General features: G+C 35.1%; 1 protein-coding gene and 1 long non-coding RNA gene across 5 annotated transcripts in view; both read left to right on the top strand.

Annotated features, from left to right (window-relative positions):
• The window catches only part of NEGR1-IT1 (NEGR1 intronic transcript 1), a 42,781-nt gene extending 34,548 nt beyond the window's left edge, over positions 1–8,233 (top strand). Inside the window, exons 2-3 of the long non-coding RNA NR_046218.1 lie at positions 4,195–4,390; positions 7,929–8,233. This is a non-coding gene — a long non-coding RNA (NEGR1 intronic transcript 1). The remainder of the gene's footprint in view (positions 1–4,194; positions 4,391–7,928) is intronic.
• NEGR1 (neuronal growth regulator 1) overlaps positions 1–25,634 on the top strand; it is an 886,597-nt gene that overhangs the window by 480,075 nt on the left and 380,888 nt on the right. The window lies entirely within an intron of this gene.

The raw sequence follows: 25,634 nt of genomic DNA, 5'->3' as shown, positions 1-25,634 counted from the left end.
CTGATGATGTCTGAATTACCTTCAAGGTCATACTTTCTTTTTTTGTAGGATAAAGCATGATCACATATGAATAGCTCTATTTTCCTGTGCTGGCCACTGGAGACATAGCTGATTAAATCCATGGGCAATCTCTTTATGGAGTACTTGTTCAGCCATATCTTTGTTGTCCCTTCCAGAACATACTTTCTCATTTTTTTGCAGTATGTATAAACTGATAATTCTCTAAATCTTTAAGTTCTGGTTTTTTTCTGTTAATAATTTCTTCTTCTCTTTATTTCTCTCCTTTCTCATTTTATCTTAAGCAGTAAGGAAAACCCAAGCTGCACCTTCAACACTTAGCTTAGAAATCTTTTCAGCTAAATATCTAAGTTTATTATTTTTAAGCTCTACCTTCCACAGATCACTAGAACACAATTCAGCCAAGTATTTGCCACTTCATAGCATGAACAGTTTTTCTTTCAGTCTCTGATAACATGTTCCTCATTTTCAGCTGAGACCCTACCAGAGCACCTTTAGTGTTCATATTTCTACTAACATTATGGTAACGATATATATGTTCTCTAAAACAATAATAGCTTGCACTACTGTCTTCCTCTTTTCTTTCAGAACCCTCATCAGTATCACCTTTAATGTCCTTATTTCTGCTAACAACAGAATGCAGTACATAACAGATAAGAAACTATTGGAGTGTTTGGGCGAAATGCAATGCAATCTGATTGATTTTATTAGAATTACTATGACTTCTGTGTTGAGAACTGATTGCCTGGGACATGGACAATAGCAGATGAAGTTAGGAGGCTCTAAAGTTAGAGGCAAATAGATTTTCTGATAATATATGTGGAGTGTGAGAATAAGAGGGAAACCAAGGGTGATTTCAAGGATTTTGGTTTGAGCAAATTGGAAAAACTAGTTATGATTAACTGAGATAAGAAAGGCTGGCATGATAGATAGTTTGAGTGGAAATAACAAGAGTTTTCATTAGACATGTTGAGATATGTACTAGACAACCATGTGAAGATACTGAACAGAGAATTGTACATCTAATCTTGAACCCAAGGGAAAGAAATGAGGGAGATCTGTGTCTACAATTCAGGGAAGAGTTCTTGACTTTTTAGTTGGTATTTCAAACCATAAAATGTGATGGACTCACTAAAGCAGTAATGTAGATAAAAGGAGGTCCAACAATCTATGCTTGAGATGCTCTAACATCAGGAGACTAGTGAGATAGGAGGAAAAAACCATCAGAGCTGACTGGCAAAGAGAGGCCAGTAAAGGTTAGTAGAAAACCAGGAGAGTGTGATGTCCAGAAAAGCAGAGAAAATGTTTCAAGGGGAACAAAGTGATCAATTATTCTAAACGTTGAGTAATATACTAAGTAAGATGAGAGCTGAGAACCTGTCACTGGGTTAAGTAATGTGCATCGTTGTAGGGTGGTAGGAAAGAAGGTAGTTGCAGGGAAGTAGTAGTGGTGAAAGTGTAATTAGAAAGAAATCAAGAGAAAATTATATGATGACTACAAACACTATTTTGAGGCATTTTATTGTAAAATGAGGCAGTAAACAGAAAAGATTGCTCAAGAGGTTTTTTGTTGTTTTTCTGTTTCTGTTTATTTTTTCTTAAAGATTGAAGAACTATAACACATGCTATGGGAATGATCTAATTAAGGTAAAACACTGGATGATGTGGGAGAGAATGGGAGGATTAGTGAAATGAAGCCCTCGAGTAGTTAAAGTGAATGGACTTAGTGCTCAAGTGGAGGGATGAGGCTGGATGGGAACACAGTCCTCTCTTAACAAAGAAGGCAAAGCATAAGCACACAGAGGCTACCATGTGGAAAGAAAGCAAATAATTTTGATTGAAAGTGGAATATGAGGACATGAACAGTATGTTACAGGGATAAGGAAAAGGGATAGGGAGAGGGACAAACTAGGATTTTTGAGCACCTACAGTATGTCAGGAATTTTGCAAATAATAAACTTAAGAACTAAAACCATACAAACCCTAGAGGAAAACCTAGGCAATACCATTCAGGACATAGGCATGGGCAAAGACTTCATGATCGAAACACCAATAGCAGTGGCAACAAAAGCCAAAATTGACAAATGGGAGCTAATTAAACTAAAGAGCTTCTGTACAGCAAAAGAAACTATCATGAGAGTGAACAGACAACCTAAAGAATGGGAGAAAAATTTTGCAATCTATCCATCTGACAAAGGGCTAATATCCAGAATCTGCAGAGAACTTAAACAAATTTACAAGAAAAAAACAAACAATCCCATCAAAAAGTGGGCAAAGGATATGAACAGACACTTCTCAAAAGAAGACATTTATGCAGCCAACAAACATATGAAAAAAGCTCATCATCACTGGTCGTTAGAGAAATGCAAATCAAAACCACAATGGGGTACCATCTCATGCCAATTACAATGGCGATCATTAAAAAGTCAGGAAACAGCCGGGTGCAGTGGCTCACACATGTAATCCCAGCACTTTGGGAAGCCAAGGTAGGCAGATCACGAGGACAGGAGATCGAGACCATTCTGGCTAATACGGTGAAACCCCGTCTCTACTAAAAATACAAAAAATTAGCCAGGCATGGTGGCATGCTCCTGTAGTCCCAGCTACTCAGGAGGCTGAGGCAAGAGAATTGCTTGAACCCAGGACGTGGAGGTTGCAGTGAGCCAAGATCGTGCCTCTGCACTCCAGCCTGGGTGACAGAGCCAGACTCCATCTCAAAAAAAAAAAAGTCAGGAGACAACAGATGCTGGAGAGGATGTGGAGAAATAAGAACACTTTTATACTGTTGGTGGGAGTGTAAGTTATTTCAGCCATTGTGGAAGGCAGTGTGGCAATTTCTCAAGGATCTAGAACCAGAAATACCATTTGATCCAGCAATCCCATTACTGGGTATATACCCAAAGGATTATAAATCATTCCACCAAAAAGACACATGCTCACCTATGTTTACTGTAACACTGTTCACACTAGCAAAGACTTGGAACCAACCCAAATGCCCAACAATGTTAGACTGGATAAAGAAAATGTGGCACGTATACACCATGAAATACTATTTAGCCATAAAAAAGAATGAGTTCATGTCCTTTGCAGGAACATGGATGAAGCTGGAAACCATCATTCTCAGCAGACTAATACAGGAACAGAAAACCAAACACCGTGTGGTCTCCCTCATAAGTGGGAGTTGAACAATGAGAATACATGGACACAGGGAGGTGAATATCACACACTGGGGCCTGTCAGGGGGTGGAGTGCTAGGGGAGGGATAGCATTAGTAGAACTACCTAATGTAGATGACGGGTTGATGGGTGCAGCAAACCACCATGGCACATGTATACCTATGTAATAAACCTGCATGTTCTGCACATGTATCCCAGAACTTAGTATAATAAAAAAAAAAAAACACCATTCAATACAAGATCTTTTCCCCTACCCTCAAAAGGCTCAAGGCTCACAGTCTAAAAAGGCAGATAAGTGAGGATATAATTTTAATAATGCAGAGTGATAACTGTCTTAATATAGTACCTTCGGCTACTTATATAAACTGTTTACACCCCAGTCTTTGAATGCATTCATAGGTGCACTCACAAAATAGGGGATTAAAGGGATTATTGGGATAAGGTATCAACACTCTTACTCAGCTCTGTGAGGAGCTAAGGTTTCTCCACGAAATATGTTTCTCTTCAATCCAAGATTTGTCTTATAAAGCTCTACTGTTTTTGTTTTCTGCCTGCATAGCCTTGGAGGAAAAAAAATATTAGGTTTCAGACTCAGATCAGCTCAGTTTGAATCCTAGATCTCCTAGTTAACAATTAAGTGATCTGAGCAAGTTAATGAATTAGCCTTAGTCGCCCCATCAGCAAAATAGGAGTGAAAATGTTTCACATAAATATTGTGAAGATGTAATTCTTTAATATGCATAAATAGTTAGAATAGTTCTTGGTGCACAGTGAAGATATAATTAATGCTAGTTATTATTTATCCTGTTCTTTTATTACATGCAATTGTAATTTTTATTGTCACCTAATGTCTTAGCTTTGTCATCTTTCTTTTTTATATACTTTCTTTGCTTACTCTTTAGTCATTTTTTTATGTTTAACCTCTGTATCTTTTATTTCTCAGTTAAGAGGATATTCACCGTGAACTTTCTCCTGAAGACTTTTTCTGTATTTTTTTCAGTTGCTGTTTGTCTTTAGGCTAAATGTAGGGACTCTCTGCTCCACCGAGTCTGATATTACTCTCTAAATGGTCTGGATCAGTGATACTCTTGAAAAGCCAGTCATAGCTTCAGGGGGCTGGCTTCTCTACAGCACGTTCTCTCACCTGGCTGTGCTCTGTTTATCTTGTATGAGGAGAGAGTATCCAGTCTGGAAGGGTAAGAATATTTGGCTCTTTGTGTCCTTTAATATCTGCCATCTGTTGGCCAATGTTAAAGAATCATAAATGTTTTCAATGGCAAGGAATGATACCTATGACAAAAACATACAGATTTTATAGTTGAGTACTTTCTGCAACTAGATACTATAGTGATGCAGGTTAAACAATATAAACTCTGTTTTTTCTAAAGATATTCGATAAAAATGATCTGCACAAATAGAAAATTTATGACTAAGTTAATGGTGCAGTCTACCTAACCATGGAAGAAGAGTCAGTGCTCAGAGAATGTTATTTAGAAGGAAACAAAGACAACTAAATAAATTAATGTATAATGTATACATTATTCAGAGCCATTCTGAAACTTAAAAAAAGAAAACAGGAAAGACTGCTTAAGCTCTTCAATCCAACAGCATTTAATGTTAGTTCTATAAAGCCTACATTTATCAAATACATAATTTATGTCAGGTAGTGTTCTATTTCTGTACATTTATTATCTTATACATTTTCCTCTAAATCACTTTGATGTATTTTCTCTAATTATCCAAATTTTACAGAAGGAAATAGAGGATCATAAAATTTAAGTCACTTGTTCAATGTTAAACAAATAGTAAGCACCAGAGTTTCAAGGCAGCCTAACTGCAAATTCTGTGGCCTTAGATTTCATATTGGATATTTTCATTTTGAATCTTCTTACCATGACTCAATAGCTTAGATCCTTGTGAGCAAGCAGCATGTTTAATATACTAAATACAAGGTTTAGTGAAAAACAGTATTGGGTTGAGACCCAGTCTTGCCGCTTATGATCAGTTTGGTCTCAGATTTTTCTTCTCTTAGAATTAGGTTAATAATTCCTAATTCATAGCATGACTGTGTGGTACTGCGAGGCACATTACTAAATGAGGTAATGGATATAAAGTATGTAGCACAGTGTTTCACACATATTAAGTATTCGAGAAATATTTCCTGCTCTCCTTTGGCATTCCCGTCTGTCTTTCTGCAAGCAATACTAGCTTGTCTGAAGTCCTTCTCCTCTTTAATGATACAAATCCTGTCTCTCACCATCTGCAAATATTTAATGAGTTTCAATTATGTAAATATGTGCTGTAAAAATGACCAACCCATAGTCCCTACCGTTAAGCCCCTAGTAATCTTTATCAGGCCCCTATATAAAACCTACAACTTTTAAAAAGTCTTTCTGAGCACTCCAGGCCAACTTCCTTCTCTCAACTCCTCCGGAAGTGAATTTGTGTCCCCTTATTTGGTACTAAGCAATTTACTTACTTCTTTTGTGATGTCTTTTTGTACATCTATACCCCTGGCTCTCTAAAGAGATTGTAAAGAAGTATGACTCCTGCCTTAAGGGAGCATAATACCTGTAGATGATAGGCATTTGCAAACTTTCTGATGGATAAAATTAAAAAGGAGTTTTTGCTGCAGAATTCACTTTGAAAAATTATTTCACTTAATTGTATGTCATTCTTCACTGTGACAAAACAAAACAAAACAAAACAAAAAACCTTGGTCACCACAGGCTATGCCGCATCCAGCTCGCTTGAGCCTTTCTTGTAGCTTTTGATCTCACTCCATTTTTCTAGATTATTTGAATTTGATGAAAATGCACAAAATCAAAACCTGTTTCTCGATTATTTTTTCTAAAGAGAGAAATGACTTTGTCTATCACTACCTCCAAAATTACACACACACAAAACCTAGTTGATGATAGTGCTGCACATTAACAGAGTATCTTTTTCTCAAACACACCTGGTACTCTTCCAGCCCAGGTATGTAAATAGGACTCATTTTGCACAGGCTGAAACATGACCCAGGCTCTGTAGTGCCTCCTGAGATGGGAGTGGAAAGTACACACAGAGGGCTTCTGTATGCTTGGAAGGAAAATTGTATGAATATGTGTGGTGGTAGAGAGGTCAGGAGATTGGATGAGAATTCAGGTCAACTGAATGTTAAAAATTAGAATATAGAACTATGTTAATATCCAGTTAGGAGAGCAACATTAGCATCAGCATTGCTGCAAAAGCTAGATTTTAATGACCATAAGGTTGACTAATCTGTGACCTACATGTACACCCAGAAATGCACCACTTCTCTGGGACCAAATGAGGCCTTTGAAATGATCCCCAAAGTTCAGCCTGGTCTAAATTGTAGAAGCTCTGTATTTCACAGTATATTTTAAACAAAACACTGCTCCCTTCCTAAAGGATTGGACTTTTAGTTTCTAAATAATAATTTACAGAATTGACATATATTTTCATAAATGGTATCATAATTTCATACTGCACAATTCTTTCCCAACTGGCTTTTTGCACTCAGCATTTTGTTTTTCAGAATAGTTCATATTGATACACAGGGACCCAGTTAACTCATTTTGTCTGCAGTTGAAGATTATATTATACAACGTAACATTTTATAAACACACGGTCAATTGGGATTTGTTCAGATTTTTGCTTTTGGAAACTGTATAATCTTTCATGTATTTCCTTGTGCATATATGAGATTTTCTCTAGTACAGAGATTCCATGGATAAACAATGAAATGGATCATTTGGGAATTTCTTGAGTATAGATGGCAATTCAAGTTTTTCAGGAGTGGGGCCCATGAATTGATATATTTTGAGAACATCTCAGATGGTCCTAATGTGCATTCAATATTGAGAACCACTGTTTTAGTCCAGGGCAATGCTTCTCAAACTTTAATGTAGATATAAATTATCTACAGATCTTGTTAAGTTGCAGCTTTTTATTTAGTTAATCTGGGAGTATCTGTATTTGTAAAAAGCTCCCAGGTGATTCAGGACTACACTTTCAAATCTCTACAATTTCATTTCTAAGTATTTCCTCTAGGGCATTCAAATACTTAGAAATGAAATTGTAGTGATATATGTGTATCTTCAGTTTTATTTGTTTTCAAATTATTTGCAGATTTATATTGTTTTCAGCAGTGTGTGATTTTTCATTTTCTCATCAACTTGGTATTACCTAATTTTTTAAGTGTCACCAATATTATGAATTTCAAGTTGTGACATTTTAATTTAAATTTTTCTGCCTAAAAGTGAAGGTGCACTTCTTGTCAAGTAATTCAAATAATTGGCCATTAAAGTTTCCCCTTTTTAAAATTGTGCATTCATATTCTTTATCCATTTTTCTATTAGTAGACCTTTTTTAACATTTTGACTTGTTGAAATTATTTATATATTCAGAATACTAATCTTTTGTTTGTTTGTTTAAATTCTCTGGGAATGCTTCCTGCAATGTGGCTTTATTTAAATCAGTTTATGGTATCTCACATATACCAAAGTTTACCTGTTTACATTTAAGATAGTCACATTTACCAATCTTTTTCATCTGGCTTGTGTTTTACATCTTACTCTTTTTCCAACTTCAATGCTATAAAGTAATTCTATATTATTAAAATATTTTAAAATTTTGATTTTAATATTTGGACTTTTAATCTATGCATAACTTATTTATGTACATGGCATGAGGTCCAAATTCATTTGTATTGTTTTTTTTTCCCCACAGGGTAGACAATTGCCTAGCACCATTGATTGAATCTTTCTACACTGATTTGTAATACTCCGCTATCATATTCAAAACCTGTGTGTGTCTGTTCTGTGAGTGCTGTGAGTTTTGTGTGTGCCAGTTTTATTCTAGGCTGTATTTTTTCCCGGCATTTTATAATTAGCATTGAGAATTTGAAAGGATAAGTTATTCTCTTTTATTTTTCTTAGTTAGGATTGTTCTTGGCTACTCTTGGTCCTTTACTCTTCAATATGAGTGATAGGATGAATTTTTTAATTCTGTAAATAAAATGGAATTTAATGTAATTGTATCACATTTATAGATTTAAGGGGGGAAGAGTTAACATATTTTCTGTAATCCAGTTGAATTATCTTATCAATTCCAATAGCATGTATCTTCTCTTGAATATTCTACAAAGACAAGTTATCTATTAGCAATGACTTGTTTGCACCTTTGCTTTGAATACTTATCCTTTTAACTTATTTCTAAATCTTATTGAACTGATTAGGAACTCTACTATAATGTGAAATAGAAAAACTGGGCTTCCTTACCTTGTTTCAGTTTTAATGAAATATGCCTCACATTTCACAATTACAGATAATGAGCATTGTGAATTTTGTTGTATCTTTTTAGTCACATTTTGAAAGAAACTATCCCTAGATTGCAACTTTTTGTTATAAATTATAGTATTTTTATATAATGCTTTTTCTATATCTATTGACATGATTATATATATATACATATCCTTAAATCTGTATTGATGTATTAAATTTATAAGCTGTTAAATAATTTCCTCATTCCTAACATAAGAACACTTGCTTAGGCAAAATTTTTATATATATTACTGGATTCACTTGATGAATCCAATGTTGCAATTAAAAATTTTCTGTGTTTATAAGTGAAATTGCTTTTCTTGTACAGTCATTGCCTATATTTAATGTCACATTATGTCAGTTTCATGAAATGAATTGGCAATATTTTCCTCATTTTATTTTTGTTAAATTTTGTATCTTGAATCTTCTCTTGAGTAGGCTATATAACATGAAAATTAGTTCTTTAAATATTGGTAGATATCTTTTATAAAACTGTGTAGGCCTGTTATTTATTTGTTGCTGATAGACCATCCCAGGCCGGGCGTGGTGGCTCATGCCTGTAATCCCAGCACTTTGGGAGGCCGAGGCGGGCAGATCACAAGGTCGGGAGTTCAAGACCAACCTGGCCAATATCGTGAAACCCCTGTCTCTACTAAAAATACAAATATATATATATATATGGTTTCAGTGAGCCAAGATCGTGCCACTGCACTCCAGCCTGGGCGACAGAGCAAGATTCCATCTAAAAAAAAAAAAAAAAGAACATCCCAATCAATTGTTCCTACAGGCAGCCCATATTCTCTAGAGACTAGTTCTATTCTACTTTTCATTTATGCCATCTTCAATATGTGATTTCCAATTTCTAAGGAAACAGCAAGGAGGATCACTCCTGGGAGGTTTATGTGAGCCAATCCTGGAAAGAGCACACATCACTTCTCCTCACATTCCATTGCTTAAAACTCAAGCATAAGTAACTTTATCTGGGAATCATAATTTAGTTGTCTGCCAAGAAGAGGAAAATGAACTTGGTAATCAATTAGCTGCCTTGCAACACCTAGAAAGAAATAAGATATTTCTCTACTACAAAAGAAAAGTTCTTTTTTCTTCTATAAATTTTGTTTAATGCCCCCTTTCAAAAAGTACCTTATAGTAACAAGCATACAGCTTAGTTCCTGAAGGTACCATTTGAGTGTTACAGCTTCCAGCCTGATGGAAACAGTTTGATATTAAAATCCTAGCACAGTATTGCCAACTCCCTATCAAAAGCACCATGTTATATACATAAAAAACCTTCTCATCAGCTGGTGACTCTGCTGCCATTTGGTACATTTTATTTTTCAATAAAATAACTGACTAGAAAAAATCAACCATAGTCACTGTTGTTTTTGCAATATGTTGGAAAGGCAGGTGGTCATCCTATCTCTGGAAATGAAAAACAATACAGAGATAAATGTGGGAAAAAAAGAGGAAGTGTGGAAGAAAGTGTGTGGGTTTAGCTGTTTGGTGAAACAGGATGAGAAGGGCTCTTACGTTACTCATCAACTGAGAAACATATTTCCATCTATTTATACTAACACATCAATCTGGATGCATACACTGTGACTTCTATAAATGCAAACTCACAAAAATTTGCTTAGGTAGAAACACTTGATAGGATATTCATATCATAGGGGGAGAAACCAACATACAACCAGCCATGGAGTTTTCAAATAGCAAACAGTAGTCTCTTTTTTCCCTCCCACAAAGATATTAATCAAACGTTCTTTCCATTCCAAGAATTAAACAAAAACTTATTTGGGCCTGTGAAACTTCAGGCCCTCAGAAGGAATACACTAGCCATTTACAACATGTTTGTTTTTGCGTCCATTATTTTAGCAATGTTTTAACTCAAAGTCCTCTATAATTTATTCTCATCCTAACATTTTAATCTTGTTTCTACCAAGTTGAGCTGTAAAGCTAAACTGCCTGATCGGCAAATATGTCCTGTATGTTTACTAACTGTTTATTTCCAAATGCTGATCTCACAATTCTCTGTTCATCCTCCCAAGTCCAAATTTGTTCCATTATTCAAAGCCAAGCTCAAATTTCTTCTCATCAAATCTTTTCTGATTCTCCTCTCCACCTGCCCTTCCTCTACCTACTTCCAATTAAAGTTAGTCATTTTCTCACCTAAAGTACCGTGATCTTTTTCTCTGAATCTTTCTTATGACTCTTAGGGTGTTCCACTTTACAGTTACTAATGTTCTCATTTTCTCTCTTAACTACATTCTAGACTTTTTAAGGGCAAGAGCATGCCTTTGATTCCTCTTCATGATCTCAATATCTGATGGGAACACTATGAAATATTCTATTATTATGAAATATTACAGTATTTATGAAATGAATAACTTTAAATGTATCTTATATATAGGTAAAAGTTGGTAGGCAGGCTACTGATAAATATTTTTTTAAAAAAGCCATAATTTATAGCATTTGCCAATTTCCATGCTCTAAACACTGCCACTGTGGCCACGTTCAGATTGATATCACTAAATACAAAGTTGAGGAGAGATATGCAGTAGCAGACCATTTCTACCATATAGATTCAATACATGTAAGTAACCCAAGATAACACACGACAGTAAAATGTAATAAAATATTGAGAAAGTGATACATTTTGAGTTTTTAAAATTTTTGCTTTTAGTATAATTTAACTTTAATATTATTTAATTTTAATAATGAATATGCTTAAAATTCAACTCACAAAATTCCTGAAAATCCAACATTTACCTTCCACAAGTGCACCTGATATTGACATTGTTTGTCAGTGCATACTTTCTATTTATACAGTTTTGTTTAAAAATGCTGTAAGAAAGGGAAAAACTATATGTGAAATGTAAGAAGAAATTCCATTTCTCTCCTCTAATGGGCTTGTTCATTTTATCTACATTTTTGTTGCCTCCCCTCTTATTTTTCTCCTCCTCTTCCCCAGTTGTCTACCAGTCCTATCGCCAGTCCCGAACAACAAATGATTTTTGTTCATCACTTAACCTCCCTCAGATCTCATTTTTCAGTTGCTAATAGCCAGGCCCTTTAATGGCATTTTCCTTGAGTTTACTTCCTCATATACAAAGGTATGTAGTGCAGCAAATACTCAAAGAATGCACAGTTGAAAAATCCTAACAGTATTATTTGACTCAAGCATTCACTCAGTGTAGTAATCCCATTTCTAATCCCACTGGTCTTCCATAGTCTCTGGAAACCATGTGATGACAGGGAGCTTGTATTCTCATAAAATAGTTTTTTATTGTTAGGATACTTCTTGTTTAGGATACTTTATTATAATCACCTGAATTCTACCATACTTTTTTCTACTAGATCAACTGAGAACAAATTCACAAGCAAATGCAAATACTCTTCTCCTTCCTTGCATTTTTTATATTTATGTAAACACTCCTGGTTCCGTCATCAGTGTCCTAACGTAGTACTGCATGTATGCACTTTACTATTCTGTCTGGCGTCTAATGGCAAAATAACATCTGTGTGTTACTAGCATGTTGTAACGACTGAAACTGAACACCTGACCTCCGGTATAGTTTTATCATTAAATGTGTCTCCCAGAGATACATCCAAGTTGCTTAAAATTCAGAAAACAAAACAGCCAAATACAGATTATTATTGAGCACTGCTGACATTCTGCTTCCATATAGACATGAATCTACCACCAATACAAGTTGTAGTGGCATGACCAGTTAGGTCTCTGTCAGGCTATGTGAGCAACTTGTCCACACAACTCTATTTTATTGCTTAAACTGTCAACAATTGTCAAACGGCTCCTGAAATCTACATACACACTCAATATGTTCATAGAATTTTCTTTCTTCGTAAGTAGTTGACCTACTCAAAAGGTAAATTGGGTTATTTTGGCATAGCTAATCCTTGATGTTTATTCCTCTCAACCCTTAAAATCCAAATATTTAGATATAGTTTATACTTTTCCATCCTTCCACTACAGTAGTAGCCGTGAATAAAAGGTTTTAATGATAGTTAGGTGTATGCAAAAATACAGAATAAAAGAGCTAACTTTTACCAGGTAGCATATTTGGATTTTCCACCTTTCAGAAAGAAGAAGGGGTTGGTTTGGCTTATTTTTGGTGGATTTATCAAGTGACGAGACTGGAGTGTTCAAAACAAGAAAGTTCAGCAGGTTGGAGAGGTAGCTCCAGAGCACGAATGCCCAAGGAATTACACTTTTCAGTCTTAACCACATTTTTTAAGTTTTTAAAAACAGAATCTGATAGCATCAAGAAAACAAAAGTAAAAATACATGATATTTTTTATCTGGGATATGAAAATATTTTATACACTTAGTACTTGAGAGAAGCTAAAGCATGTTAGTGTTCCTTATGTAACACCCAAGAGACTAGTTCACTTTCAATATATTAATATTTTAAGCCAAAAGGGAGAAGTGGCAAAGTATTTCTGTTCCTTGGAATGTAGTAATTAATATGAAGGAGAATGACTTTGTAAATGAATGTGTTAAAGACTAAATCTCTAAACAAGGAACATTTAGAACTGACTAAAATATTCCCATTAAACACATTCTGAGCACTTACTGTGTACTAATTATGATCTTGTAAATTACTCAGGGATCAATATAAAATAGTTCTTGCATTCATCTGGCTTCTCCAGAAATATCTACAAAAAGAGACATTTGTTTATGTCTTGAAAGTGAATAAAGGAAATAATTTTAGGTGTGACTAGCTAAGTAGTTCAGTTACAGCCACAGGGATGAATACAGAGTCTGTGATAGGGTCCTCATCTTGTCCAGCCTCCATATGTGTATAACTCGACCTGGAACACATTTGTCTATTTAGACGGCTACAACATATTCCAAAAAATATCTTGGTATCGCCTTTGCCATCCTTCTATCTTTATCTGAGCTGGGTGAATTTTCCTTAAGGTATACATATTTTATGTATATGTTTCTCATATAACTTGATATAATTGTATTTTTAATCTATTTTAATGTTTATTTTCTTCCATAATATATAAGCTACTGGAAAACAACTCTTTTATTACATGTTAAATCAACAGCACCTATGTCAGTCCCTAGTGCATAGCAAATGACAAACATTTTCTAACCAAATGAATAATATATAAATCTGTAAGAGAGAGATCTTTTGAGAGTAGCCTTCCTATAATTAGACTTTCCCCACTGTTACCATATCTCAGTATAAACAAAGGCACATACTGATGTTACAAGACACACACACACACACACACATGCTTGTATTCAATACAGTACGTATCTAACTGTAGATCTAAGGCAATATATAATATTTAATCCTCTTGCTGGAAATCAAGGCGTTAAAGAGAATTAAGAATATCTGAAAATTTGAGTTTTTGTGATTTATATTTAAATATAAGTCCCAGAAGCTAGCCCCAGTATAAAACAATTTCTGTCAAGAGACTGCATTTTTTTCTAATGAATAATTTAAAACACAACTTTTTTTTTCCATGTGAACTGTCTTATATCTTGGCAGTAGGCATAGCATTTCAATAATTTATATACTTTTGAATATAATATAGTTAATGTCACAAAAGCAATTTCTTTGATATTGAATTATAAGAGAATGCACTTAGACCACTGTGACTAATGATCTAGGAGCCAACACATGGCAAGTTATCTTTTAATCCAATCCAATTTCAGAGAGAACTGGCACATGTAACCATAGGACTCTGCTATCTCTTGGCACATAGCTGCATGATAACCTTTGTTTGTAATATTTTTTTAAAAAAATAAAGGTTCTCTTTGAGAAAAGTAGATAAGGTAACATGGACGTTAAAAAATATAGATGATAATTATTTTTTGGAAGCAGAATATTAACATGAATCATGGTTTTATCATTAAGTTTCTGGATGAAACCCATTCTCAGAATGTTTTCTAAGGCAAGACTCTAGGCCTTTCTAAGGCAGTTACTCTGTAAATCTAATCATGGTTAGTTTTTGACAGGTGAGAAACCACACATTAGTGTGATAATGTACAACTTTTATAAGAAAACAAACAACGTAATGTGAAAATGGATTCCTTGTGTCTTTCAAAGCCAAAATAGTCTGAAGGCCTTGCCAAGATGTGAGGCAAAGATGGCAAGATTGTGGCTCTCTAGCTGAATCCAGACCATGAAGAGCTTTCAGCATATGGTGAAGATTTTGTACACACACAAATCTGCAGGCACTCTTTACTTTCATAAACCATGTAGACTTTTATATCAAGAAAATTGTCCAACATGTAATGATGAAGTGTCTTCATGTTTTTCTAATTCCTATAAAGGTGTCATTTGGGTTAGTGCCAGGCTAATTTCACAGATATTTTGAGGAGATTGTAAGCTACAAAAAAAAAATTAATATTTCCAGTCTTAAGTTCTAGCAAGCCTAGACTTTTCTATTTTTAGGATGGAAATTATCAGTGGTAGCTGCTCTCTTTAGACAGGTGCTCTCTACCTGGCCCCATCAATCACAATATGTATGTATACTTTGTCCTGACTCACATTACTCATATATGTTACTTATCCATAACATTAGATATTTTTGTTTTCAACATAAGTAATCAGGGCCTTGGCCATCATGGGAAGTTTTATCATCTATTTCTGGAGGCTTTACTTTGTTCCATTGTCTATTTGATACCAACACCACACTGGCTTTGTAGTAGCTTTATGGTAAGTTGTGAAGTCACATAAGATAAGTTCTCAAATTTTCTTTATTCTTTTAAAAACTGTGCCCAAACGTGGTTGCTTTTAACAACTACAATTATTTGTTTTACTCAGAAGACTGCAATTTGTGCAATTTAGATAGGATATTTGAGGCCTCACTGGGATGACTTAGGCAGTCAGGGCTTAGATGAGCTGAAGTGCTTCCCAAGCTTTCTCTCTCTCTCTTTCTGTTATCACAGTCTCTCCATGTGGCGACCGCATGTGGTGCCTCCACATGTTCTCTCCAGCATGGTAGCCCCGAGGTGGTGACACCACAGTGGGCTAGAACTCCAAGAGTGAGTGTTCTCAGAGAACAGTACCGGAAACAAATATTTTTTGCTTTGTTTTGTTTTGTTTTGTTTTCCCAGTTTGGAAGTCAAATAGCATTATTTCTTCCACAACTCTACTGTATGAAGCAGCCAAGAGCCTACTCCAATTTAATATGAGGTGGGGAAGGGGAGAGATCCTATTTTTAGTGGAAAGAGTATTAAAAAATTTGTGGCCATGTTGATAGAACCACCACACAAACCAACTATCACAAAAGCAGATGGGTGGATGGAAGGAAGAATTGGCCTGGACATGTAGAACTTTGCCCTAAGATGGACCCAAACTCACTCCCTCCAAATAAGTCATTAGTCTCTCAGTATATTACTCACAGTAAATGTTCAACAAATACTAACCCTTGCTGTGGGTAACCTTTTTTAGACATGTTTCCCGTAAGGAAGGCAGAAAGCCACAGTGTCCTATTTTGAATACTTATCCAACTACCTTCTCACTCCCTTTCTAGAGCACAGTGTTGAGAAGGGATCACTATAAATAGTGTTGAGAAGGGCACACTATTTATTTCCAGCCAAGGCTTCAGCACCAATTCCCTGGTGAGCTTATTGGATCATATGGAAATTTCTAGGATCTATATAAACATATGAATAAAAAGACAAAAATAAAATATATCAAACTATTAATAATAATTATTAAATGGTGGCATTATATTAAATTGAATCATATGAAATTGCCAATATCCATTTGTTTTTAACTAAAGGGCAGTTTTAGATATTACAACCTAATATGCTACTTTTTTTTCTTCCTTAATGTTTATGTATTTGTCTACATTCTTTTCAGTGAATGTATATTATCTTCATGATTAGAAAAATAAATATTATTTACAAAGAACAAAGAAACCAGAGTACTTCAAAGAAGGTGTTATTTTTCAAATGGTGCTAAAATGACACATCTCCTCTGCAAATGCATAAAACACCAGAGCAGCTTTTAGATATAAAAATCTGCTAAAACACATTTTGAGAAACCTGAGCCTAACAAGGAATATGTATATTGAACCTGAGCAGGCTTACCTTATAAAACCAGGAGCCAGGTGTTACATTATAACTCTGTGACTCCAAGGGTAGACATTGGGTTCTCTCATGTTTTCAAAAACCCTAAAGCAAGCTTTTAGCTATGGGAAATGTTTGCAAAGAAGGCAGCTGGGTTCTAGTTTGACACAGCTGGGCTGTTTCCTCTGGTTTATAGGGAAAATAGTTCACTGCCAAGGATGAGGCAAGAAAACAGTTCACTTGGGCCATTCCAAAGGGTATTTGTTGGCACATTTCCAAATGGAGCTGGCCACCAGGTTTATGGGAATAGTAACTACACTGAAAGAAGGTACTTGCTTTCCTTAATATAAATTCCTGGAAGGGGAATCATTGGCTCAATGGAATAGAAATTTTTTTAAGTTCTTAAAATATACTGCCAAATTGTTTCCAGGAAAAAAAAAAACCTCATTATTAATTCTTAATAAAATGTTACCATCACTGAAGGTTTTGAAGTTATATAGTTGGTGCCTTAAGAATTATACTTCACTAGGATACCCACATTAGTGTGCTGTAAGGTATTTCAATTGCGGTGTTCTTCCTATCTATTTTGTGACCATTTTCTACTAAGGAAGAGACTGAATTATGCAGGCATTGTAGATTCCCTGTGATATACAGCACGACAATAAGTGTGCTCCAGCCTGCTGGCTGCTGCTGCTGTTGCCTGAGGAAGTAGCTGCTATTAAGGTCCTGATTTTAAGCAGTGTTTTATATCTTTGAATTATCCAAGTAAGTGAAACTGAAGCAAGCCTGAGGTACAGCAGTGATTTGAATTCTGGTGTATAAACACTCATGTGCAGAGGCTAGCTATTGATCCTCTCGCCAAAACAAATCAAAAAAATAAAAATCTTTACAGTCCAAAATATTGAAACTCTTGTGTAACCATGTTGTGTTTTTGTCTTCAAAATAAAATGTTTGTACAGCATGCGAGAAATTTGCCTGCAACCAAAAATGTTAAAATCATTACATAAATGTTAAGCTCTCTAAAACCAGCAGCCTTTTAAAAGCTCATTTTATCACATTTAATTTTCATGTATACTAAACCTACTTCATGTGTGTTTCATGTGTAAGTGTATGTTTTTATTTGCTACTGAAAATCTAACTGGCAAATTGTTATGCCTTTGCATAATCCATGCATTAGAGAGTCCAGAGAAGATGGAGAGAAAGAGAAAATAGAAGAAAGTAATTTCCACTTTAGTTTCTCTATAATTCCATATCCTGTAGGGTTCATTCTTCTCAGAGTCTTACTTTCTTCTCTTCTTGATCACTACCATTTAGAACCAATCCTGAGCTTTTCAAGGGAAAAGAACACGATGGTAAAATGTTGCCTATTGCATCTTTCTACTTCCAGGATGGTGCCCCACTGCACCCACTATGCTGCTCTCAGTGAGTTTGAAAATGGATGCAAGTTAATAAGTCATCATTTCTTGTAGGGTTAGTTACATTTTAACATTAGTCCCTTGAAGGCAAATAAATATTCTGAGGATCTTTAAAAAAAAAAAAGCCTTTCTACTTAGAGTGCAGATTTTAAATATAGGAGAGAGAATTTTAAGGAGAGGTCTTTCTGGTGTTCTGTAAATCAGTGTTTCCAAAATCTGTAGACTTTGGAACTCACTACATACTATTGGTCTAGAATATCCTAAATCAACCTTTCTCCCATCCCAGAATCACGAAAAACTCATCCGGTTATCCCTGATGATTAGCTGGGTGTGGGAAACTACTGTTTTAAACCACCAAATTCTGTTCAAATTCCACCTGTTTCAAAAAGCCTTGTCCAATATCAGCATCCCCTCAATTCTGCCTCCATAAGGAAGAGTTAGTTACAAATCTGTGTTCCCAATACACCTTGGGAATAAGTCTTTGTAGGATTAGTGACTCTGCATTGTGATTAGAAATGTTGTATCTTTCTAACTCTTTAGACATGGACTCCTTAAGATTAGTCACCCTGAGATGGGGCTTAATAAATGTCTATTGGATGGATGGATGGATGGATGGATGGATGGATGGACGGGTGGATGGATGAATTAAAACAGTTCACTGCCTATTTTGCCAGATTTTTATAGGTGACCCCACGAAGGACAGAATAGATTGAGAAAAACTCGTGCATAGGTATCCTAAATGAGAGAAAACAGTAAAGTAAGCAACATAATTCAAAGTTTGAACTGAAGTTCGACAGATAACGTTTTTCTTATACGGATTCTTTACCCCTAAGTTGTTCTGGCATATTTTATCTGTAGGTATTTCATGAATTTGGCAAGTTTGAATTTAAAACTCATGCTTGGTATCTTTTTCCTGTTATCACTATCTCTGAGTGAGGGGATTAGGGGAGAAGCAATAGAAATCTCTGAAATGCCATAAACTGTGACAAGTCAGTCATAGTCTATCAGCTGGAGAAAATAATGTTGCTGGTGAGATGCAGACCATGAAACCATCAAGAACCCACAAGCAAACCAATTTAGAGAAAAAAGCATGAAACAATTTCTTATCTCAGTTTGAGAACAACACCTTTTCCAGGAGGTTTGTTATGTAACGTAGATCTGCTTTCACTTTTTGGGGGCAGGCCAATACTGAAAAGAGGAGTGCCAGCCCAGTGAAAGGAAGGATGTTCTTTTGATATTGCCAGCCATTACCAGATATGGGAGTGCAAAAAAGCCAATTCTCCCAAGATTTATAGTTACGTCTAGCTTGTTGACTCAAGCAGTTTGGAAAAGCTTCAGAAATATAGTTCATCCAAACTAACCCAGACTCCAAGTCTTTGGAGGAAAAAAACAGTAGAAATAATATGCACATACATACTATTAGAGTCAAATTCTCTTGATTTTAAATTTGCAAAGATCCAAAAGTAAAAAAAAAAAAATACTGAGACCAACTCACATGGGACTACCTAAGATGTGACAGACCATTCTGTTAAAAATAAATGTGTATGATTATTGTCCAGTTATTTCTCTGGGTTTGCATGGCAAAAGCTATAGTAGGCAAAGGACTAAGAAAATATTATGCTTCTAAATGAGTTAGAGGAATATTTAATCCCTAAACTCAGAGAATCCATGAAAAAGTCACACAGGACCCTTGAAATTATAATTACATTTTCACCATATTCTCAGAACTTATATTATGTGATTCTTGCAATGGTATAAAATTTTATAGGATCTCTTCACTGAGACATCAAAGAAGTATTAGCTTAGCACCTGAAAGAACAATGAAATATTTATTGAATAACCTGTATGTGTCAGGCCCTCTCTCAGGTTCTGGCAATATGCTGTTGAATAAAGCACACAACTTCCCTACCCTAGGTCTCTACTTAGATTCTATGAAGAGATACAGATAATAAACAAATGAAGAAATAAATACCAATGATAATTATGGATTGCAAAGAAAACTATCACAAGAAATGAGTATAGGAGTGGAAAGGGGCAGAGAGTTATGGGTGCAAATAATTATTTCAACAAGACACATTCTGTCCTAGTACATTCAGGCGCTATAAAAAATGCCATAAACTAGATGGCTTATAATCAACAGAAATGTATTTCTCACACTTCTGGAGGCTGGGAAGTCCAAGATCGAGGCACTGGAGAGGGCCTGTTTTCTCATGGATGACACTTTCTCACTGAGTCCTTACATGGTGGAAGGGGTGGCCTAGCTCGTGGGGTCTATTTTATAAGGGCACTAATCCCTTCATGATCTAATCACCTTTCCAAGGCCCCACCTCCTAATAGTATCACCTCGGGGGTTAAGATTTTAACTCATGAATTTGGGAGAGACACAAACATTGTCCACAGTGCAGACCCAGAAAAACCTATTCTGCTTTAAGATCATCAAAGTCATCAGTGATACAATTTTTTAAGATCGAATTTTGATCTTTTAAAATTCACTCACTAATGTACATTTCGCTGTTTCTTCTTTGTGGTAAATTTTTGAGGTATGAGAAGTCACCGTTGGGAGAGGTGGGTCAAAGAGGACATCAAAGAGTTGGCATCACTTTTATTTTACTTCTTATTTGTCCTAGTGAACATATTTGGAGAATAGATCTCATAATTGTGTGCATAATTCAAATAGATATATAACAACTTTTAAAGGTTTTTGGTAATGAGTCTACAACTTCAGAGAATGAATGAGAGGGCATTCGGTGCACTCCCCTATAAAACACTGCTTTGATTTTATATCCTGACCGAGGAAACAGGTGGTTTTTGTGCCAGAATATTGTGGTTACAATAAATGCTGATCTGATGTTTTTCAGTAATCTGTGAGTGTTTATGAGCCAGATTAAATAAATATTCCATCTACCTTTTAGCCCTGGCATCCTAAAGACAGCCTCCAAATGGATTTGTATGCACTGTGGTCTTTCACGGACTCTTACAGCTTAAGAGCTCGATGGGGCATTTAATTGATTCCAGTGAGCCAGTGCAACTATCCAGATCCAAATAGTTTATGCCTTTTATTTACAGTTAAAATAACTGTCAGACGCATCCTGTAAGGGTTTTTAATATCATGTGTGACCTGACCTCACAGGTCATGCAAGTTAATATTGGTTCAGGTGCTATTTTATTTATTCTTTCTAAAATCATCTGCACAGATTTTTTTAGATAAAAACTTTTAATATAATAAAATACCCTGTGCTTATATGACTCCTGTGATATCCAGATTAGTCACCGTGATGCTGGCTTCTCTGTTAATGGTCATGTTGCAGGCAGCATGATGAATTCTTGAAAGAAATTAAAGCTATATCTTTGAAGACTGCTCATTAAACAAACAAAAATAATTTATTTCTATACATCAGAAAATATGTACACATTAAAAGAAAATAATGCCGTGCACTCACAAACTCAGTTGCTCATTATCGTACAAACAGTGGAGAATAATCCAAAATGGTAGCCTGTGTGAAGGTCATTAGAATCTGGTTTGGATGTGCATTCTAAGATTTTTCTTACTGAAAGTGACTCATACCTGGCCTGAAGACACCCACAGATGGGCTCAGAAGAGGGAAGGTGGGTGGAGTAAGTCAAATTGCCTACATTTTTTGGTGAAAGTGAAACTAACAAGAGACATATGTTATCTTTAGAGAATCTAAATATGTAGATACATCTAAATACGCATTATCTCCTCACTGTGGAACCAACTAAATAAAAGTTGAAGACCAGGTACTAAGTAGCAGTTGAATTTTAGGCCAGTGAACAATTAAAGGGAAAGCATGTTATGAATGCAAGGGACCAAGAGTAGTTCATTTAAATGGATATGGAGGTTTTAAAATACATTTCACCCAACACAATCTTTAAATCTACTTTCAACCTCTGTTGCTTAGAAAGCTTCCAGTGTTCTTAGATCTCTCTAACTGGTAATACACAACAATTAATTATGAACACAGTTGTAAAGTCTTGTATATCCCTAATTAGAGTTTCACTAGGAGATATTCTGTGATTTAGTATGAAATCTAGGACTTCTGCCTTTTCATTGTCTTTTTATGGTATCATATAATGAAGATAGTGAGGATATTATAATAATTGTTTCCAGCATATTAAATGAGTTTACACTCATCAATATATTTCTTTATAACTCTGCCCTAGGTCATAAGTACTTAAAGTACATGACAATTTAAAATACTTCTTAAAATCTGTAGTTATTTAATGGCTTAAAAATTGTTGAATTGATTAAATACATCTGCTCCTTTTTGCATAAATTAAGTATTTAGAAAAGGATGTGAGGGAGTCTGAAATAAGATCTAGAAAAGGGGCACACATCTAGAATAGTACATTATTTTTAACTCTCCTCTATTTTTTTTCTTTTTTTTTTTTTTTTTTTTTTTTTTTTTTTGGTTTTCCTATGCAAGTGCTTAGCACGATGCGCCCTGGGACCATCCAAAACCCTTCTCTATACCACACCTTATTCTGACGACAGAGCTGACAATTGTTATCACCATCCAGTTGACCAATTCTCTATACCACCATTTGTGCAGTCCTACCTTAAGGTTATTAATAGTTTTCCTGGCCTGGTGTGGTGGCTCACTCCTGTAAACCCAGCACTTTGGGAGGCAGAGGCAGGTAGATCACCTGAAGTCAGGAGTTCGAGAGCAGCCTGGCCAATGTGGCAAAACCCCATCTCTATTAAAAAATATGAAAATTAGCTGGGCGCAGTGGCAGGCGCCTGTAATCCCAGCTACTCCGGAGGCTGAGGCAGGAGAATCACTTCAACCCGAGAGGCAGGAGTTGCAGTGAGCGGAGATTGAGCCATTGCACTCCAGCCTGGGAGACAGAGCGAGAGACTCTGTCAAAAAAAGAAAAAAAAAAAGTTTTTATCTATTATAAATAGTCTGCACTCAATAACCTTGTGCGTAAACTATTCTACATAATTAACTTAAAAATAAACCAACACAAAATTAATGTCTACTGATTTAAACCCAGAAGTTTTACCTATTGAACTTGTTTTACTCCTGTAAAATGGGAAAGGAAAATGTGGAAAATATTTGCCCTCTCTTAGTTACTTACCTATCCGCTTCTGTCTTTTAATTTAAATTTCTTGAGGGCAAGTAACATGCCTTTAAACTTTTGCATTTCCTTTGGGTCAAGAATTATTCCCTTCATGATAGTCAGTAAAAGTTGGAAGGCTTAAACTGAATATGCAATAGTTCTGAATATTCAGCAAAGCAACACCTGTTTTTGTCTCCACAAGCCACCGTGCATGTAAGGATTTCACTGGCCCTCTTACACATGGCATCTGCTTCCAACAAGTGATGCATTTCTGGGGAGAGGAGCCTTGTCAGAGGGATTTTCTCTTACTAACATCCTCTTCCCAGATGTGTATTCCCTGTAGCATGTCCTGAATTATGAGGCCCTGGAAGGCAATTGCAATCACTGAGAATGACATGTCACACCTGGAATTTACCACTCTCCCCACACTACACAATCTCCTATAGGTAAATGTCAAATCTAAGTTTATTTCTAAGGGACTTAATTGTTTCTCTATATAGCCAAATACTAGTGCTGAATATTAGTTTAGCATAATGTTTAGCACTTTAAATATATGTAGATGTGTAAAGATCCAACTAAACTATTTTTTGATCAGACAGTATTGACCAAATAATGGTATTTCGAGGATGGAATTCATGTTCTTATGGCATTTCATTATTTCTCTTCATATACATATCTCTGTCTAACCTTGAATCAGTTATATTTTAAATAATTAAGTAAAGTCGCTAGGCGAGACTAAGAGCCCTATATACTATCTTCTATATAAAGGAAAAAAGCACTATATAATTTTTTTAATAGTGGGCACTGCTATGCACTGTATGTATGTTTATGAATACAGATGCTCCTCATGTTATGATAAGGTTACATCCAAATAAACCCATTGTAAATTGAAAATGCAATTAATACACTTAAACTATCGAACATCATAACTTAACCTAGCCTTCATTAAACGTGCTCAGACACTTAACCACAGTTGGTCAGAATAATGTGACAAAAGGCCTGTTTTATAATAAAATGTCGAATATTTCATGTAGATTATCAAATACTATACTGAAAATGAAAACATAATTGTTGTATGGGTACTCAAAATGTGCTTTCTACTGAATGGATATTATTTTCACACCATTATAAAGTAAAAACATTATAATTGAACCATTGTAAGTCAGTGACCATCTATATATGTATATCTGTCTCTCTCTCTATATATATATATGTATATATATCCACATGTGCTTTACAGTTCATTGAATTAAACCTATACCTACAACTAAATATCTAAAATATACTTTTAGTTTAATGTTGTAAATTTATTATTATTAACTCTCCTATTTACCAGTGTAATGCAAAGTTTTTTGTACTTTCCTTCTAGGGTAATTTAATGTTTTTATTTTTGTTCTGTTTTAGTTAAGCTGAAAAGACCCCTCTGTTTGGGATGGTTTTAAAATTTTTATTATTTGCCTGAGAAAAGCTCACTGAAGAGTTTGATGATAATGTGTTTTAAATGCCAATTAAACTATGTCATTTGGAAACAGTTACAGTGGTGTATTACTTAGGAAAAAGCCTTCTCCTCAATCATATCAACAGTTACACATAATCAAATACTTTATATTTGTAATTATATCATTCTTGATTTTCTTGAGGCTGAGTTTTGGTTGTCAAAAAAAATTCAAAGTATGGGTAATTTATCGTCACAACAGATTTTAGTTACTAGCTTTAAAGGTAATCGTGAAAACATGTCTCTTGCATAAAGAAACCCAAAGAAGGGAACAATTAAAAAGATTTCAGTAAAAATCTTATTTTTCTAATGATTACCAAGGGGTGTAATTGCTATTTATTTATATTTGTGCTGTAATAGTAACATAGTATAAATTTTATAAAGTAACCCAAACTTATTTATGGCATAGGTCAGTCATACCCTCTACAAAAGTGAAGAATTTCTGAGAACAATTTTAAGGCATAGGAAAAGAGCACTACTAAAATGAAATTCAAACACCATATATGTGTTTAATAGCATCTAATAATAATGACTAACACTAATGTCAGGCACTTTTCTAAGTCCTTTAACATGTAGTGACTTACTTAGTCTCCATAGCAGCCAGATAGGACATGTACTATTATTGTCTCCTGCTCTCAGATAAAGACACTGAGGCTGAGATAAATTAAATAACTTACTCTAAATAATGCAGTTAGCCAATAGAGATTTATACCCATGCTCTTTGAGGATTCAATGAGACATTTGGTTTCTCAAAGAATATAGAAATTTAATCCTGGAAGTTAGTTTAGAGACTTTTCTCTCCAACATTTCCCGAATGTATTATGTGATTAAATTCTGGGATAAAAACTTCTCTAGTCTAATACATCAGAGAAAATGCAATACAATATATCCCCCTTGACTCTTATGGATTTACAGTGCAAAAGGGCATAACAAAGGATGAGAAGTCCTGAAGTGATCTGTTTCAACCAGTGTTTGCCAGTCATTATTGATAAGAAAACTTTATTGTATCCACCTTTCATAGTCCTTAGAATTTGTGTTCCTTAGAACACAAATTTTGAGAAA

This window comes from Homo sapiens, chromosome 1 (genome assembly GCF_000001405.40).
Source record: "Homo sapiens chromosome 1, GRCh38.p14 Primary Assembly".
Taxonomy (NCBI): domain Eukaryota; kingdom Metazoa; phylum Chordata; class Mammalia; order Primates; family Hominidae; genus Homo; species Homo sapiens.
Note: the sequence above shows the minus strand (reverse complement) of the source record. Positions and strands in the feature narration are given on the sequence as shown.